A 20,013-nucleotide genomic window follows, 5' to 3' on the forward strand; every position below is an offset into this window, starting at 1 on the left:
GTTCTCCACATATGATCAAAGGTATTATGTATAGAGTCACTAAACTGCCTCTCATGAGCAGTGAATCAGGATTATTAACTGCATTTATTTTGCATAACTCTCTAAAGAGTTCACACCAATGACTATCAGTGTTCTCTGTACTTTTAGAAGTAGATCCCTTAGCATTTTTGGTTTCAATCACATTAAGCAGTCAACTCCAGAACCAGAAACCCCCAAACAAACTAAGGAATCCATCCTTAAAATTCTGTTCCACTAGAATGACTCCCAATACCAAAATCTCTATTAGTCAGGGTTCTCTAGAGGGACAAAACTAATAGGATAGATGTATATATGAAAGGGAGTTTATTAAGGAGTATTGACTCACATGATCACAAGGTGAAGTTCCACAACAGGTCGTCTTCAAGCTGAGGAGCAAGGAAGCCAATCTGAGTCCCAAAACCTGAAAAGCAGGGAAGCCAACAGTGCAGCCTTTAGTCTGTGGCCAAAGGCCCAAGAGCCCCTGGCAAACCACTGGTGTATGTCTAAGAGTCCAAAAGCCAAAGAACATGGAGTCTGATGTTCGAGAGCAGGAAGCATCCAGCACTGGAGAAAGATAGAGTTCAGAAAGCTTAACCAGTCTTCTCTTTTCATGCCTGCTTTTATGCTGACAGCTGATTAGATGGTGCCCACCCAGATTGAGGGTGGGTCTGCCTTTTCCAGTCCACTGACTCAAATGTTAACCTCCTTTGGCAACACACTCATAGACACACCCAGGAACAATACCTTGCATCCATCAATCCAATCAAGATGAAACTCAATATTAACCATTCAATGCTTTATATCATTCTTTTCTCTGACTGCTTCAGCTAGGACCTCTAATACTATGTTAAATAATAGTAGGTGACATTGGATATCCTGGTTTTGTTCTAGATCTTTGGGAAAAGGCTTTCTGTTCTCCCTATTCATTATGAGACTAGCTGTGTGTCTGTCCTATACGGCTTTTATCATGTTATGTTTCCTCTATACCCTATTTTTTAGGTTTTTATCATGAAGTAATGTTTCACTTTATTGAATGCTTTTCCAGCATCAATTGAAATACTGATTTTAATCCTTCAATCTGTTGATATGATGCATCACATTGATTAATTTGCATATGTTGAACCATCCTTGCATCCCAGGGATAAATCCTACTTGGTAATGGTGAATAAGCTTTCTAATATACAGTTAGCTAGTATTTTATGGAAGATTTTTGCATCAGTATTTATCAGAGATATTGGCCTGTAGTTTTTTTTTTCTATCTCTTTGTCTGATTTTGCTAACAGGGTAATATTGGCCTCATAGAATGTTTAAAAATTTTCCTCATCCTCTATTTTTTGGAAAAGTTTGAATTGGGTTGTTATTAGTTATTCTTTAAAAGTTTGGTAGAATTCAGCAGTGAAGCCATCAGGTCCAGGGGGTTTCACCATGTTGCCCAAGCTGGTCTGGAACTCCTGGATTTAAGCAATCCACCCACTTCAGCCTCACAAAGTGCTAGGATTACAGGCATGAGCCACCAAAATGCTGGGATTACAGGCATGAGCAACTGCACCCAGCCTGAAGTTTCAATCAAGCAAAACTGCTTCCTTGAAGATTATTCTGAGAAATACTTGACCCTTAGTCATTTTCCTGTATTGGGAAAGCAATGTGTTTTTAAACTACTCTTGAGTAATAAACATCACTTTGCAGGGCCAAAACAAAGATCATAGATAGAAAAAGAAAGTTTTTCCAATTTAGCTTTTAAGAGACATTTTGGTGAAAGAGTATTCAAAACAGCCTATTTCTATTCATTCTGGACAAATTTAAAGCACAAATTTGAAAAGCATATTTTTGTTGTTTACTTATTAGAATGAAAGCATGAGCGATTGGAACAAAGTTTGGTCATGTGATATTGGGAAAGCTGACATACTAGAAAATAAAAAGTAGGAAATGCCTCAAACATAATTAGCCAGATAAGTTCGACAGAGACCTCTGCAGCTATAAAGAGGTGGACTGAATTCAATAAGAAAGTTGTGAAGGAATACACAAGTAATTGTTGCTTTAAGTAATATATTTCCCTTTTCTTTTAAATGTTTTATTCTGGCATCTCTCCTGTGGTCTCAGGGTTCTTTGGAATGGCTTGGATATGGGGTAGAGGTGCAGAGTAAAAAGGGAGAATGAAGGAAAACCACCGCATGCAGGATTTATTATAATTTAAAATTGTATGATGCTTTAGAACAATTGAGCTATAAATTCATACAGTTCTTTTAGTGCATTTCAGGAGGAAGAATACCCAATTTCCCTGATGTGTATTTTAAATATATTTGTTTCACCATAATACACATGGCAAGTATGCTGAATGGGTGAAGATTAGTTAACATCAGAATGAAACTTCAAAGGAAGCTTTGTATCTTCCATATTTGTTCATGAACTAATTTTGCACACTCCTCCCCACCTTACTCTTAATGGTTTACTTTTTTGTGCTTTTATCTATTTTTACAAAGTGTCAACTAGGGAGCTGCTGATTGAATCAGTTGCTTTTCAATTAGTCACTCTCTGAGATTTGCTACATTCAACTAATTACAAAGTATCCTTCAGAAAGTCCCTTAAGAAAGAAATTAGGTATTATTTCCTTTCTAAATAGAGAATGGTCTTTGGTGTACTTAACCGCAAAGTGAATTTTACAAAGAAAATTACACATATTTGCTAGTTATCTGAATGCACTTTTTAACATCAGAGGACTAATACAGTTCTGGAGTTTTAAATGACACAAAGAAAGTCTTTCAATATACACCTATAAGGTGACCAGGTGTCTTGGTTTTCTCAGGGCTGTCCCAGTTTTAGAACTGGAAGTCCTTCATTACAGGAAACTCCTGAGTCTGGGGAAAACCTGGATAGTTGGTTATCTCATTGTATGGCTAAAATGGAGAGATGTGGACTGAATGGCAGTGCAGACACATAGATTCAGAATTCATAGAACATATTCAATGACTGTCGTGATGCAGCATTTTACCTTTTTATCAATTTCTTGGATGTATATACTGTGTACATACTGATCAAAGATACATGTAGTTGACTGGTATTGGTGGCTCACGTCTGTAATCCTGGCACTTTGGGAGGCCAAGGCAGGAGAATTACATGAGCTCAGGTCTTGGAGACCAGCCTGGGCAAAATAGCAAGACCCACCCCCCACCACTCCCCACCCACAGCCTCTACAAAAAACTTAAAGAAAAAATAGCCAGGCATGGTGGTGCATGCCTGTGATCCCAGCTACTCAGGAGGCTGAGGCAGGAGAATCATTTGAGCCTGGGAGACTGGGGCTGCATTGAGCTGAGATCCTGCCACTGAACTCCACCCTGAGCAACACAGCAAGACCCTGTCTGGGGAAAAAAAAAAAAAAAAAAAAAAGTACATGCAGTATACATATTGAAGGGAGACGGAAATAAAGCTAAAATTAACAGGTAAAATGTTAGATCAAGATCCCAAAATATTTACCTTTGCTCCCGCTGTTAGTACTTTGTAATAAAACTTCTAGATAAAATTTAAAACTTTTATAAAAAAGTTACACAATTGGATTTGTGATAAATGTGTCACAGGTTAAGAATAAACTGATCACTTACACTCAGAAATGTTCTCACTTGTCTAGTGAAATAGTGGAGTGGCCTTGAGTTCCATTTGCGTGAGGCATTGGCCCATCTGGAAGGCATCATAAAGGAAGAGTTAGGGCACCAAGCTTAAATCAGTTACAAAGCCTTAGTTTTCAGAAATAATATGTGTTTCTGAGAATAGAATAGTGTTTGTTAATTGAATTTGTTTTTCACTTAGTGTTATATTTGCCTAAATCCTATGAAGAGCTGGTAGTTTGGGAGAAGAGACTGTTAAGTAAAATTTGCAAACAATATTTCACTAAAGCACATGATAAAGGAAAGACTGCAAACTGGTAGCTGTCAGTGCAAATATAGCCCACAGATACATTTTGTTTGGCTCACTTGTTTTTACAAATTGATTAAATAAATCACAGGAAGCCTTGTGGTTGATGGGACAGTTCTGTATCTTGATCATGTGGTAGTTACAGAAATGTACACACGTGAAAAAAATTACATTGAATCACACACAGGCAAAGGAGTGCACGTAAAGCTAATGAAATATAAATAAGCTTTACAGATTTTCCTGGTTGTGTCAATTTCCTAGTTTTAGTATTGTATTATAGTCATGCAAAATGTTACCATTGAAGGAAACATGTCCTATATACCATAAGACCTCCCTGCACATATTTTGTAACTTCCTATCAATGTATAATTATTTCAAAATTTTTTAAAAAGTTAAACGCCATGTTTCAGAAAAAAATAATTGACATAGTAATTGCTGTACAATTTTCACACCTCATTATTAGATTTTATATTCTATAAGCCTCTCAGCCCCCAACAAAGCTCTACAATGAGAATTGAACAAACCACTATATAAGCAAAGAAACAAAATACACAAAATCTTAACTATTAATTTCAAAATCCACTGGTCTGAGAGAAAAAGGACAATATGCATATTTACAGAATATATTCTACTCCCTGAAGATTAAATAATAAACACCAAAAACTTGAAAAGGAGTGGGAGGATCACATGGATAAAAATAATCTGAGACCAAGAAAGAATAAGCTTCAACTAACCAAGTGATTTTAATGGCCCTCCTCAGGATGCCACATAGAAATGGAATCAGAGCCCTGTTATCTTTTTTTGTTACTATCTGTTAAAAACCCATAACAGTGTGATCTAACTAGGAGTTATGTTCTTTTTTTCTTCAAAACTCTGCTTAATCCCCTGCCTTTCAAATGCACTATCCTGTGTTGATAACAGCTGTTTCCACTGCCTGGGGCACCATAAACCCTGTAGAATGGAGATATCCTTAACTCCTCAAAAGGTGTTGGTGATACAAAGAGAAAGGAAAACATTCAGATCCCTCAAGCCGGCCCTTGTCAAGTATATCCAGAATAAAACCCAAGAGGGATTCTCTGAAGTCCCATTACAATGCTGCAACATACCAAACCTATTACAGCTAAGATTGAAAAATGTATTCATGTATTCAACAAATATTTTTGATCAATTACTATCTGCCAGGCACTATTCTAAGCACTGGCAATAAACCAATAAACAAAAGAGACAATACTCCCTGCTTATATGGAGCTTACATTCTAATGCATCTGTTTCCAGAGGAAGAGTTGTTAGTTCAAAAACAATCAAATCACTAAAATACATAGGCATATTAGATCATGATAAATATTGTTAAGAAAAAGACAGGAAATATTTTCTTTTTCTTTTTTTTAAGAGTCTTGCTCTGTTGCCCAAGCTGGAGTTCAGTGATCTTGGCTCACTGCATCCTCTGCCTCCCAGGTTCAAGTAATTCTCCTATCTCAGCCTCCCGACTAGCTGGGATTACAGACACCCTCCATCACATCTGGCTAATTTTTGTATGACAGGAAGTATTTTCAGCATGGTAAAGAGGAAGGCAAGCTTAATTTTATGTAGGCTTTTAAAAATTACCAGGACAGGCCCTATGTATATAGAAGGAAAATATTTCTTAAAAAATGAAGATTGAGGGAGTGAGGACATGATAATATGTGGGAGAAGCACATTCCTTATACAGCAAGTGCAAAGGCCCTGAAGTGTGATTTGTCTGTTGTGTTTCAGGTACAGTAAGAAAGTCACCGTGTCTCTATCAAAGTGATGGAGACAGTAGTCAAAGATGAAAGTCAGAGTTAATGGGGGGTTTGTGAAGTTAATGGTATCTATTCAAGTCCAACTTCCAGAGAAGACAAAACATAACCACAACCCTATATCATTTTGATAATTTAGATGCCAACTCCCAGCAGAACCAGAGAGACAGTCCCAACTTCCCATCTCATTTTATCCAGTGTTGCAGTGGGTCAAATGCCCAGGATGAAATAATTTTCTTCAGCCATATTTAGTTCTTTTCAGACCTAGTATTTTTATTTTTTACTATATGTAGCCAGGAACCAGTTTCTTCACCTAATCCTATGTTGAGTCAACCAGTCTGAACTAAGATTGTTTTCCTGAAAATATTTCACTACATGTATATTTGCAGATTGTAAAAATAGAATTAGGTAACATTTAAAGAAAGAAAGATTTTTTGCTTATTATTCAGATTAGAAAGTAAAACTATCTCTATTTGCAAATGACTATATCTTATGAAAAATCCTAATACAATAAAAATCATAATAAATTGAACAAAGTTGCAGGACACCAGATCAATTTACAAAAATCAACTGTATTTCTATGTAGTTGCAAAGAACAATTCAGAAATAAAAACAATTCCATTTAAAACAGAATCAAAACAATGAAATACTTAGGAATACTTGACTTACCCAAGTAAGAAACACAAAACTTGTACTATGAAAACTACGAAACAGTGTTTAAAGAAATTCATAATAAATGAATAAAAGGAGCGACATCTAATGTTGATGGATTAAAAAACTTAACGTTAAGATGCCAATACTCTCTCACAAGTCCCTATTATCATACAAAATTAATACCAAATGAACCACAGGGTTAAATGTAAAAGCTAAATACAGAAACTCAGAAGAAAATCCACGTTCATGAATATTTTGTTAGAAGTGAAAAAGATCCGAGTTACCCGGAGTTACCTGTGGCAAATCCGTACGCACTCACAGCAACTTCAGTCCTTGCCTTCTCAGAGGAAAGAATTTGACTGAAAGGCATGAAGCAAAAAAAAAAAAAAGAAGAAAGAAAGAAAGAAAGGGAGAGACTGAGGCAAGTTACAGAGCAGGAGTGGAAGTTTATTTTTAAAACCCTTAGAAAAAAAGGAAAGAAAAGAAGGTGCACTTGGAAGAGAACCAAGCAAGCACATAAGGTTAGAGAGAGGTCAAGTGCCCCATTTAACTGTGATCCCAGGACTTTTATAAGCTCACCTCTTTCCCATGATTCTTCCCTTAGGGTGGGCTGCCTACATGCGCAGAGCCCTCCTTACCCTTTGGAAGTGAGCACACACAGTGTGTTTAGGGAGTTATATGTATGACCATCAGAGGCTTTCTTCCTTTTTCCAGTGGTATGAACCCGGAAGATCATTCTTTGCCATTTTTGTCTCTTAATATGCAAGCTCAGGAATTTGCTTCTCCCTGGGGCCTGCATTCAATTATCATTTTGGTGTTAACAGGTGTGGACCATCAGGAACTGGCCTCTCCCTGGCGTTGCTAAACTTTCATTTTTAGAGAGGCAAGCTGATAATTGCTGAAACATCACCCCACATTCTAGTGGGTTGGGGGAGAGCCCTCTCCTGCCCCTGCTCATGCCTAACTACCTGTAACAATTTGATCTTAAATTTTCTTCTATGAGTTTTATACTTTTATACTTTCGTCCTTAGTTTTGGACCCAAGATTCACTTGGAGTTAATGAAACTATCTTTACAAGGTTAACAAGAATTACATGCCAGGTTCTGGGCAGAAATATATTTATAATTAAGCATTAATTAGGTATGGATGAAAAGAGTCCAAATCTTTAAAATATTTGAAGAGATTTATTCTGAGCCAAATATGAGTGACCAATGGCCTAAGGCACAGTTTCAAGAGTTTCCCCAGAAGGTCGTACTTCACTATTTTGTTTCTTAATGTGCATGGCCAGGTTGCTCCCCGCTGGCGTCTACATTCAATTAACACTTTGATGTTAACAGCTGTGGGTCATCAGGAGATTGGCTCTTCCTGGAGCCCTGGCTCTGGCTGTATGATAATTGTTGAACCATCATCTGACATTCCTAGTGGGTAAGGGAGAAGAGCCTTCTCCTGTTCAGCTCATGCCCATCTAACTACCTGTAACATACCGAATTTATCTTTTAATCATTATACACTCACTTTCTTTGTCTTTATTGTTTTTAAGTTTGTTTTGTCTAAGTCTTGCTACTCCTCCTCACTTTTGGTTTTCATTTGTGTGGAATGCCTTTTTCCATGCCTTTACTGTGATTCTCTATGTAGCTTGGTTGCTGATATTGGCAACAGTGCATCAAGCATGTGGGTAGGTGGGTTTTCTGGCTCCTGGAAGTGGGTGTGATGTGGACAATGGCTGAAGCAGTGGTGAGGCAACCCACCGGACCCAAAGCAATTCATGCTGGTGTTGGCAGTGGCTGTAAAAGGCTGGGTGAGCCATTCTTCTGGCTCACAGGTGGCTTATGTGGGTGGGCACTAGCTGTTGTGGTATTGGCAGTTTTGGTAGGCCTGACCTCAGACCTTTGAAGGAATGTTCAGATGTCAATGGTGGTGGGCTTGGCTGTGTGATCCCCAGGTTCCTGCCCAGAGTCCACAAATGCTGAGGGAATGGGATTGGGCTGGTAGACTTATGCTCAGCTCATCTGGTAGTGTGTTCATGTGCTGGCTATGATAGGCAGAGGTGAAGATGTCCCCAGGTCACTGGCAGAATGCTCAGGTGGGGCCAGTGGTGACTACACTGTGAGCCTGCCTCCAGGGAGTATGAGGTCACTATCAGTGGGAGCAGCATAGGCAGGCAGCTATGGAGCTCAGTTTGCTCATGTCTTGTTTCTGCAGGTGCTTGAAGCCACTGGCAGCAGCAGAAGCAGGGGCATATTTGTCTTTAAGGCATGTGAAAGTGCTCAGCCTCCCCTTTTCCTCCTTGGCCTAGTGGCATCTGTGGCATTGGCCCCAGGTCAGGACATAGTCCTTTGTGGCTATGCTTTCAGACTGGCACTGGCTGCAGGCCACTCAACAGAGAGGGTGGGACCATTCTCAGTGCAAGCTTCATAGACAGGCAGCTGTGAGATATGCGGGTTTCTCACATCTCAGTCCCACAATAGCCTGCCTATCATCTTTCTCCTTTTTTGCTTTTGGTGCCTTCTATCACTTCTCTATTGAATTTCAGTGTTCTCTCTTACATGACCGATTAGAAGTGTGAATAATTGCTTGCTGTGTTGGTTCCTCTCTATGGAAGGGTCACATACTAGCTGCATTTAGTTAACTATCTTGCCTTTTCCTCAAAATAAAGCATCTGCTAATCTTATTAAGTATCCCTTTTATGTCATAGTTTTTCTATTTTTGCTTTCAAGATTTTCTCTTTATTTATCTATTACATTAATGTGGCTGTGGTATGTCTAGATGGGGAAGTCTTTGAGTTTCTTCTACTTGGAGATCTTTAAGCTTCTTGCATGTGTAATAAAATGTCTCATAAAATTTGGAGAGTTTTCATACAATATTTATTTAACTATTTTTTTTCTCCCCTTTTCATTTTTTTTCTCTTCTGGGGTTCCTCTTAAACATTTGTATGCTTTATGGTATCACACATCTCTCAGGATCTGCCTATTTCTCTTCATTTTTTCACTTTGCTTTTCAGACTACATAATCTTAATTTTCATTTTTTTATTCTTTATTTGCTAGCTAATACCTGTTTCTGAGCCCTTCTAGTGAATTTTTTATTTCAATCCCCTTCAAAGAATTTCTATTTGATTATTTCAAATAGAAATAATCAATTTCAAATAGAAGTAGTCTCTGTTTATTGAAATTTTCTGTTTGGTAACACTTTGGTCTCATACTTTTTAGGCACAATTTTCTTTACTCTTTTGTTGGGAAAAAGCTGAGTGTTGGGAGGGAAACTGAGACAGGGCTTGCATAATGTCCTCTGCAATGTGTCTAGACTTGCTGGCTCCATGCTTCTAGCCCTCCTAGGCTCCCAGATCAATTGTATTCCCAGTATCTCAAGTAGCAGAACACGTTCCTTATAAATGCTAAACTGTCACAGCTGTAGATCATGCACCTGCCCTTTTGACCTCCACATTCTCACCACCTGTTTCTTTGCTGGATTACCAATAAATAGCGTGGGCTCCCAGAGCTCGGGGCCTTCACAGCCTCCATGATTGTGATGGCTCCCTGCTTCCCACTTCTCTCTCTCAGACTGTCTTTTTCTCAATCCTTTGACTCTGCCAGAATTTGTCAATCCCACGACCTGGTGTTGGGTCTGATCACCCCAACACTCTTTTAAAAATATTTTTAATAGCCTACATAGTCTTTTGCCTACTCAGTCCACAATCTGGACCCCTAAGGGACTTTTGCTTTTGATTATCTTTTCTTCTTTATATGTAGCATACTACCCTGTTTTTTTCCCATCTTTCTTAATTTTTGGCTGAAAACTTGCCATTTTACTAATTAGATGAAATACTGTTGTAAGTCTGCTATCAGCTTCTTTTTCACCCACATGATTTGTGGTTGTTGCTGGTTTGTTCTCATTATTGCCATCTTTCTTATTAGCACTTATTGGCAGCCTTAGTGAACTAAGTAGTTTATCCGATTGTGGAGCCACTGAATACTCTGCTAGCTGTTTTCTTCTTGTTTTATTTTTAAGCCTGTCTTTCTTGGTGTCACACCTGAGTCAATATAGTTTATTGCTCAGCCAAGAATTTGTCAGATTTTCTTAAATACCTTGCTTTTATATCCTCCACTTTTTTCTCCCCTAAAGGGATATATGTAAGAAAGAACACTTTAAAACTTCAAGCAGTTTCCCAGACTGCCTTAGGATTCCCTTTTTGCTTGTACCCAATCTCAAAGTCATCCACAGGTGAGTAATTGGAGCCTTCTCCTTTCACAAATATTTTCTGGAAATATGCATAACCGTCTACATGAGTGAATCCTATTATATTGCCTGTATCGTGTCAGAGCTTTCCAAATTATTTTTTTATTATCATTTAGCTTTCCAGTATATTCTTTTACATTCCTGGCCAGGCTCTAGTTTGCCACATCTTAAATCAGTCTTAGGCAGCTGAGATGTTGCTTGAGTTTGCTATTATTTGAATAACTGTCAAATAAGACAATATATTCACTTTGAGAATAGTGATTTTTTGGGAACACAGGTTTTGATGAAATATTAACTATATTACAGGGGTGACGCTTTTAACAGAAATACAAAAGATATCAAATTTCTCCAATATCAGCAATGCCATCAGATTTTGGCCACTGCACTACTAAGCATGGGCGTGAAGGGTTGTAGGATAAGCACAAATTAAAATGTTATAAATTCAACTATCTTACTGCGTGGGGTTCAGTAGTTTTCTCTGGGTTAGATCATTTGCAGTTTGTTCTATGACTTTCATTAATTGCTAGAGTTCTGTAATGGTTTGTTTCATTTGTTTTACCACATTTTAACGGTTTTGCGAGGAGAGCAAGTGAACCAAGGTCCCCACTCTACTATTCTGGAAGTCGATCAATCAAGAGAGTTTTTTTTAAGCTGGATAAGATGTTTGAGTAGATGACTACTCTCTTGCTTTGAACTCTGAGATTCCATGCTTTTGTAACTTAAAATGTGCCCCTGTGAAAATAAAATATGTATTCTAAAGCAAGCCTTCACATATAAATGAAGCTGGGGATTTGTTAATATTACCTTATAAAAGAATGAGTATGAATTGTTTCCATTTCTGGATGAAGTTATTTAAGGGCTTTGGGAACAGAATAATCCACTCATTTAATTTAATTTTTTATTACTATTACGATTCTTCCAACATGGTGTCTATTACTTCGAAGAGAATAATTAGTCAGTGCACATGATACCAGATTTAGAATCCCAGAAATAAAACATTCTACCACATCTCTGTGTTTGGATAGATAAAAAGGAAGCTGACACACAACAACCCACTGAAGGTTTGACAGCTGGTCACATCCAAACCTTGGTTTCAAAACTCTCTTTAGTTCCACAAACAATGTGGAGAAAAGGGTGGTTTCCATTTAGTGATAAAGTAGCATTTGCATTTATTGGAAATACACTAGGTTTATATGGCCAAAACATAAAGTAAAACAAAAAAACAAAACAGTGGTAAAGTTAATCTTTTTGCAGTCAATATTAGGCATAAAATGCAGTAGTGGGCTTTTTAAAATTAAATATAACAAATCAGTAATTTGGTCCCACCACCTGACAATTAGGCATGCTCCACCTTGTGTTTTGTCTGTCTAAAATTACATGAAGCCCATGTATTTAAAAATGTGATCTGAGAGGCAGTTTGTTTACATCTATACCCTTTTTAAAGTCACAAGTACAATTAGGCTCTCTAGTTAGCTGACTGGAATTCATACATGAGTGAACAACAACAATTAAAAACCAAGATTAATCAAATTACCATAAGTATATCATCACGAACAAATAATCATGTAAATATTGACTGAATTTTGAGCAAATCCTGACACATTTTATTTTTCACATTGCTGGGGGATTGGAAAAAATATTCCACAAATAGGACTAAATATCCTCAAAACCTCTACAATCAGCTTTCCCCAACACCATCTGGACATTATATAATACATTCACAGTCCTTTGATGCATCATGGACATTTCATTGGAAAAGTTGTATGTGCATCTGTGTATATATGTGTGACTATGTATAATAGTCCTTGTAATATAATGATTTTAGTCCAGTCAGCTAATAATCCACTCAGTGATTCCACTCCACTGAACTACGTAACCAACTTTAGAGCTTGGCTAGCAACTCAGCTACTTTCTGGAAATGCAGAGAATTCACACAGCCCTGCACTCAAACAGGAAAGCTTCCTTTCCCTTGGAATCTTTGTAAAGTAAATATGTAGTAGTTCTATACCTACCTTTTTTGCCCAATGATAACACCGAAAGGGGAGAGAACAGAATATATCTTCTCACACTCCAAGATTAGATGTCATACAGAGTTATATAATTATGACCATATATGTCAGCATAAGAACAAACTATTTTTCTCCCTTTAAACTTTTAAATTATTATCTCATTTATGCATGCCTAATCTGTTTTGAGTCCACCTATGTTACCAGCATATCATATAGAAAATGATTAGTATATCAGGCCACTGTTGTTATAGTTGAGACAGGAAAAAGATAATTTTGCTTTGACAAACCAGTAATTTATTTCTGCAAAATTAATGAGGGATGATCTCACTGAGCACTGTATTTTGCAATTAAAGGAATTTGAAAAATGATCACAACAATCCTAGGATCACTAAATTAAAACTAGTGGCAATGTCCTCTGGCACACAGAGAGGCATGCAACTTATGTAATCTTTTTTTTTTTATTGTGACAAAATATATATGATATCATTTTATAAACTTAAAAGCTTACAATTAAATGATATTAAATATACCCATAATGTTGTATAACCATCATCACTATCTATTCCCAAAACTATTTTAGTATTCTTATAAAAACCTTATACACATTAGACAATTACTCCTTATTCTTCCCATGCCCCAAACTCTAGTCAACCCTATGCTACTTTATGTCTTTATGTATTTACCTATACCTTCTATAAGTGGAATCGTACAATATTTATTCTTCTGTATCTGGCTTATTTTACTTGGCATAATATTTTCAAGGTCCACTAATGCTGTAGCATATATAAAAATTACATTATTTTCTTTGGGTGAATAATATTCCATTGTATGAATATACAATGTTGGTTTAACTCTTCTTTTACGGATGAACATGGGTTTTTTACATCTTTTGGCCAATCTGAGTAAAGCTACTGTAAACATTGTTGTACAAATATTTGTTTGAGTCTATGTTTTCAATTATTTTGTATACATACCTAGCAGTGAAATTGCCAGGTCTTAAGGTGGTTCTAGGTTTAATATTTTGAGAAAATACCAAACCGTTTTCTACAGATGTTGCACTACTTTACATTTCCAACCAGCAATGCATGAGGGTTTCAATTTCTTCACATCCTTTACAACACTTGTTATTTTGTTTTCTTTTATATTAGCAATTCTAATTGGTGTAAAATGGTATTGTATTGAGATTTTAATTTGCATTTCCCTAATTACTAATGATGTTGGGCTTATTTTTATTTGTTTACTGGCCATTGGTATATCTCCTTTGGAGAAATATCTATCCAAGTCATTTGCCCATTTTTTGTATTGGGTTGTTTTGTTTATGTTGAGCTATAGATATTCTTTATATATTCTGGACATTAATCCCTTACCAGACATTTTATTTGCAGATGTTGTCTCCTATTCTCTACATTGTGTTTTCAGTTTATTGATAATGACCTTTGATGCATAAACTTTAATTGTGAAAACGTCCACTCTATTTATGTTTCTGTTGCTTGTACTTTTTGTGTTATATACATAAAATTTTCACATCTGTGTATATCCATATCCATAATGTCATATCCAATCCAATGTAGTAAACATTTTCCTGATGTTTATGTCTAAGAGTTTTATAATTTTATATCTCCAGTTTAGGTACTTGAGCCATTTTGAAATAATTTTGTATATACTTTAAGGTCACAGTTCAAATTCATCCTTTTTCATCGGATATTCAACTTTTGTAGCACCATTCATTTAAAAGACTGTCCTTTCTTCATTGAAGGCTCTTGACATTGTTGTTGAAAATCAATTCACTATATATGTGAAGGTTTATTTCTGAGCTCTCTATTCCATCTTATTGATGTTTATCTGTCCACATGCTGGCACCACCTTGGTTTTTTAATAAACTTTCCTTTTGTGTGTGTGTGTACATATACTTTATCTTTGTAATATGTCACAGACAATTAGAATTTAAATTAACCTAGTGATTCCTTGTGCATTCTTTTATAAATACTTTTATTGGTACATAATAATTGTACATATTTTTGAGGTACTTATGATATTTTGATACATGCATTCAATGTGTAATCATCAAATAAGGATCTTTAGCATATTGATCACTTAAAACACATATCACTTTTTATGTTGGGAACATTTCAAATATTCTCTTTCTAGCTATTTTGAAATATACAATAAATGATTGTTAATTGTAGACACCCTACTGTAATATCAAACACTAGAATTTACTCTTTCTGTTTAACTGTATGTTTGTGCCCATTAGCCAACCTCTCTTTATCCCCCTAACCTTCCCAGATTTTTGAATAAATATTTAATTGACAAAAATAATTGTTTATACATCTGGAGGACAATGTGATGTTTCAATACACATATATTATAGAAGGATTTAATCAAGCTAATTGACATATTTGTCACTTCACGAATTTCATTTTTGTGTGTGTGGTAAGAACATCAAAAATCTGTTTTGCAAATTTGAAATAATACATTTTTATTAATTATGGTCATCACACTCCTTGGTATTTACCCATATGGTTTGTAAACTTATGTCAAAAACGAAAACCTGCACATGGATGTTTATAGCACTTGTGTTTGTAATTGTCAAAACTTGGAAGCAACCAAGATGCTATTCAATAGGTGAATAAACATACAAAGGTAAAACCAGACAATGGAATATTATTCAGAAATAAAAGGAAATGAGCCACAGAAAGACATGAAAGAAGCTTAAATAACTATTAAGTAAAAGAAGCAAATCTGGAAAAGGTGCATACTCTGTGATTTCAACTATATGGCACTCTGGAAAAGGCAAAATTGTGGAGCCAGTAAAATTCAGTGGTTACCAGGGGTTCTAGTGGGGAAATGAATTTAAGTACAGTATAGGTAATCTTTAAGGCAGTAAAACTATTCTGTATGATACTATAATTATGGAAATGTATCATTTACATTTATCAAAACCCATAGAATGTGCAGCACCAAGAGTGAACTCTAATCTAAGAATGAAAGGGTATACACTAGTCTTATTCCTGATCATGGTGGAAAACATTCTATTTCTTCACTACTGAGTATATTAGGTGTATGGCTTTTGTAGTTGCTCTTTATCAAAGTGAGGAAGTTCCTCTCTATTTGTAGTGTGCTGAGGGTTTATGATGATGATGATGATGATGAATGGGTGTTGGATTTTGACAAATCCTTTTTTTTTTGACTCTATTCATGTGATCATGCCATTTTTCTATTTTAGGCTTTTGATGTCATGAATTACATTACTCGATTTTTTTAATGTTGAACCAGCCTTTCAACCTGGAATAAATCCCATTTGGTCATGGTGGATAGTTTTTTATATATTGTTAGATTTTATTTGCTAGTGTTTTGTTGAGGATTTTGGCACCTGTGTTAATGAAAGTTATTAGAGTGTAATTTTTCTATCATATCTTTTTGAATGGTTTGGTATCAGGATAATACTAACCTTATACAATTAGTTAGGAGGTGTTCTTGTTTCTATTTTTATGGAAGAGATTGTAGAAAATTGGTATACTTTGTTCCTTAAATGTTTGGTAAAATGCATCAGTGAACCCACCTGGGCTTGGCGATTTCTGTTTTGGAAAGTTATTATTAATTCAATATGTTTAATAGATACAGACCTATTCATATTGTCTATTTCTCTTTGTATGAGTTTCGGCATATTGCATCTTTCAAGTAATTAAACCGTTTCATTTCTTCTAGATTATTAAATTTGTGGACATACAGCTGTTCATAATATTCCTTTATAATACTTTGAATGTCAATAGAATTTGTAGTGATTGTCCCTTTTTTATTTCTGATATTAATTTTTGTCTTCTTTTTTTCTTAGTTAACATGGGTGGAGGCGAATCACTTTTATTAATCTGTAAAAGCAACCAGCTTTTGGTTTTATTGATTTTCTTTATTGAATACCTGTTTTCAGTTTTATTAATCTGTGCTCTAATTTCTATTATTTCAATTCTTCTGCTTACTGAGATTTTAACTTCCTCTTCTTTTTTTAACTTCCTAAAGTGGAAACTGAGATTGATTTTAAATCTTTCCTCTTTTCTAATATATGGACTCAAGGCTGTAATTTTCCTTGAAGAAATACTTTCATTTTTTGTCTCACATTTTAATAAGCTGTTTTATTATTTTCATTTAGTTCAGTATTAAAAATTTTTCGTGAGACTTTTTTGACGCATGTGTTATTTACAAATGTGTTGTTTAATCTTCAAGTACTTTAAGATACTCCATCTCTCTTTCTTGTATGTATTTCTTATTTAATTTCATTGTGGTCTGAGACCATACACTGTTTTAAGTTTTTATTTTTAAAAATTTGTTAAGGTGTGTTTTATGACCCTGGTTGTGATATATTTTAATGAGTTTTTTTTATATATACTTCAGAATAATGTGTACTCTACTCTTGTTAGATGAAATACTTTGTAGATGTCAATTACATTTAGCTGATTGATGGTGCTATTGAGTTTAACAACGCCTTACTGATTTTCTGCCTGCTGTATCTGTCCATTGCTGATTGAGGGTTGTTGAAGTCTCCAGCTATAATAGTGAATTTATGTTTCTCCATGCAGTTCCATCGGTTTTTGCCTCACATATTTTGATGCTTTCACCACATTGTTTTAATTATGGTTGCTTTGTAACTAGTTTTATAGTCAAGAAACATTAGCCATCTAACTTTATTATTTTTCGTGATTCCTTTGCTAGTCAAGGTTCTTTGTAATTCTATATAAATGTTCAGATCTGCCTATTTCTGGAGAAACAAAAGTTGAAATTTTGATAGGGATTTTATTGAATCTGTAGATTGCTTTGGGTAATATTGACATCTTAACAATATTAAGTGGTCTTATCAATGAGCATCCCATATTTTCAATTTATTTAGATCCTTAATTTTGTTCAACCATATGTTTTAGTTTTCAGCATGTCTTTTATATCATTGGTTAGATCTCTTCTTAAATATTTAATATTTTAGATGTTATTGTAAATTTAAGTGGTTTTTCACATTCTTTTCAGATTGCTTATTACTAATGCATAGAAATGTAACTCAAATGTTGATTTTGGACCCTACAACTTTTCTAAATTTGGTTATTAGTTCTGGTACCTTTCTTGTGGATGATTTGGTAGAATTTGATCCAGAAATTCAAGAATGTTCCAACATAAGAAAATCAACCAATGTAATACAGTTCAGTAACAGAATGAGACAAAAATTATATAAATTTATTCAAAAGGAGTATTTGAAAAAATTCCACACCCTTTTATAATAGAAACTCTCATAGATCTAGGAACAGAGGCAAAAATTTCAACATGATTAAGTGAATGTATTAAAAAACATTCAAGTAACATCATCCTTGATGGGGAAACACAGTGGTGAAAGACAAAACATTTCCCCTAAGATCAGAAACAAGACAAGGATGACCACTTTCCCTCCTGCTATTTAATATTTTAATAGAAAATTATTGCCATAGCTATCAGACAACAAAAATAAATGAAAACTTCAAAATAAGAAAGAAGTAAAACTATCTCTATTCACAGATGACATGATCCTGTATATAAAGAGCACAATTTGAATAGACATTAAATCAGTTCCCTAAGCCTCTTTGTTCCTCACTTGAGAAGTGAAAATCATTTCTTATCATGCTTACCTCACTGGATATTTGAGATGATTAAACATTATGAAAAATGTGAATGTACTTAAAAACAATTAGGTTCTCTTTAAGTCAATCGTGTTTGTTTTGGGGTGGATCAAGAGGTCAGGAGATGGAGACCATCCTGGCCAACACGGTGAAACCCTGTCTCTACTAAAATACAAAAAATTAGCCAAGTGTGGTGGTGCGCACCTGTAGTCCCAGCTACTCAGGAGACTGAGGCAGGGGAATCCCTTGAACCCGGGAGGCGGAGGTTGCAGTGAGCTGAGATTGCACCACTGCACTCCAGCCTGGTGACAGAATGAGACTCTGTCTCAAAAACAAACAAAAACAAACAAAAAACAGAGGAAAAGCTTCATGACATTGAATTTGGCAATGATTTCTTGACTATGACTTCTAAAGCACAGACAATAAAATAAAAAATAGATTAATTGGACTTAATAACAAGCACTTTTGTGTATCAAAGGATACGATTAATAGAGGGAAAAGGCTACCTACAAAGTGGAACAATACATTTAGTATTCATATATCTGATAAGGAATTAATATTCAGATAATATTTTCATGTGATTCAGCTATTCCAGCTTCTAGGTACACACCCAAAATAATTTAAAGTAAGGGCTCAAACAGATATTTGTACACTCATGCTCATAACCCCATTATTTATAATAGCCAAAAAATGGAAAACAATGCATATGTTTAAAGATAGATTAATGGATAAGCAAACTATGTTATAAATACACTGGAATATTATTCCATCTTAACAAGTAATTAAATTCTGATACATGCTACAGTGTTGATGAGCCTTGAAGACATTATGCCAAATAAAATAAAACAAACACAAAAGGACAAATATTGTATAATGCCTATATCAGATACCTAGATTAGTCAAATTCATAGGGACAGAAAGTAAAATGGTGGTTTCCAGCAACTGAAAGGAAAGTTGTATGAGGAGCCATTGTTTAGTGGGTATAGAGTTTCAGTGTGGGAAAGATAAAAACATTTAACAATGATGGTTGCAAAATAATATACCACTAACTTATAAGCTTAAAAATAATTAAAACAGTACACTACAAAGTTTGTAGTGTAGATGTCGCAGCACAGCTTGGTGTATATAAATTCAGCCTTTTCAGGTCATCAGAATTTGAACTGAAAATGTTAGTATTTGAGAAAAAGTAGGCCGGACATGGTGGCTCATGCCTATAATCTCAACACTTTGAGGTATAATCTCAACAATTGAGGCCAAGGCAGGCTGATTGCTTGAGCCCAGGGGTTTGAGACCAGCCTAGGCAACATGGTGAAACCCATCTCTACAAAAAGTACACAAATTAACCAGGTGTGGTTGCACATGACTGTAGTCCCTGCTACTCAGGAGACTGAGAAGCAGGAGGATCACTTGAGCCCTGGAGTTTGAGGCTGCAGTGAGCCCTGATCATGGCACTGCACTCTAGCCTGGGTGACAGAGAATGACCCCATTTCAAAAATGTAAAATAAAGGAAAAGATAAAAGAAAGAAAAACAAGAAAAAGTAGCCAGGTATGGTGGCTCATCCCCATAATCCCAGCACTTTGGAAGGCTGAGGTGGAAAGATCATTTGAGACCAGGAGCTCAAGGTTGCAGTGAGCCATGAGCCATGATTGTAACACTGCATTCCAGCCTGGCAACAGAGTGAGACTCTGTCTCAAAAAACAAAACTAAACAGAAAAAGTACATGTTGGGGATTAAAGGATTCAGTACTTTATAGGTGCAGAAGTAGTTATTCTCTCTCCAA

At 35.6% G+C, this 20,013-nt stretch overlaps 1 long non-coding RNA gene across 1 annotated transcript; it reads right to left on the minus strand.

The window, feature by feature from the left end:
- Positions 1-398: 398 nt before the first annotated feature.
- LOC105373333 (uncharacterized) lies at positions 399-6,736 on the minus strand. Its single transcript, XR_938578.1, has 3 exons — positions 6,651-6,736; positions 3,615-3,690; positions 399-439 (listed from the first exon to the last, which is right to left on the minus strand). It is a non-coding gene; the product is annotated as an uncharacterized LOC105373333 (long non-coding RNA).
- Between the last annotated feature and the right edge of the window lie 13,277 nt (positions 6,737-20,013).

This window comes from Homo sapiens, chromosome X, assembly GCF_000001405.40.
Source record: "Homo sapiens chromosome X, GRCh38.p14 Primary Assembly".
NCBI lineage: Eukaryota > Metazoa > Chordata > Mammalia > Primates > Hominidae > Homo > Homo sapiens.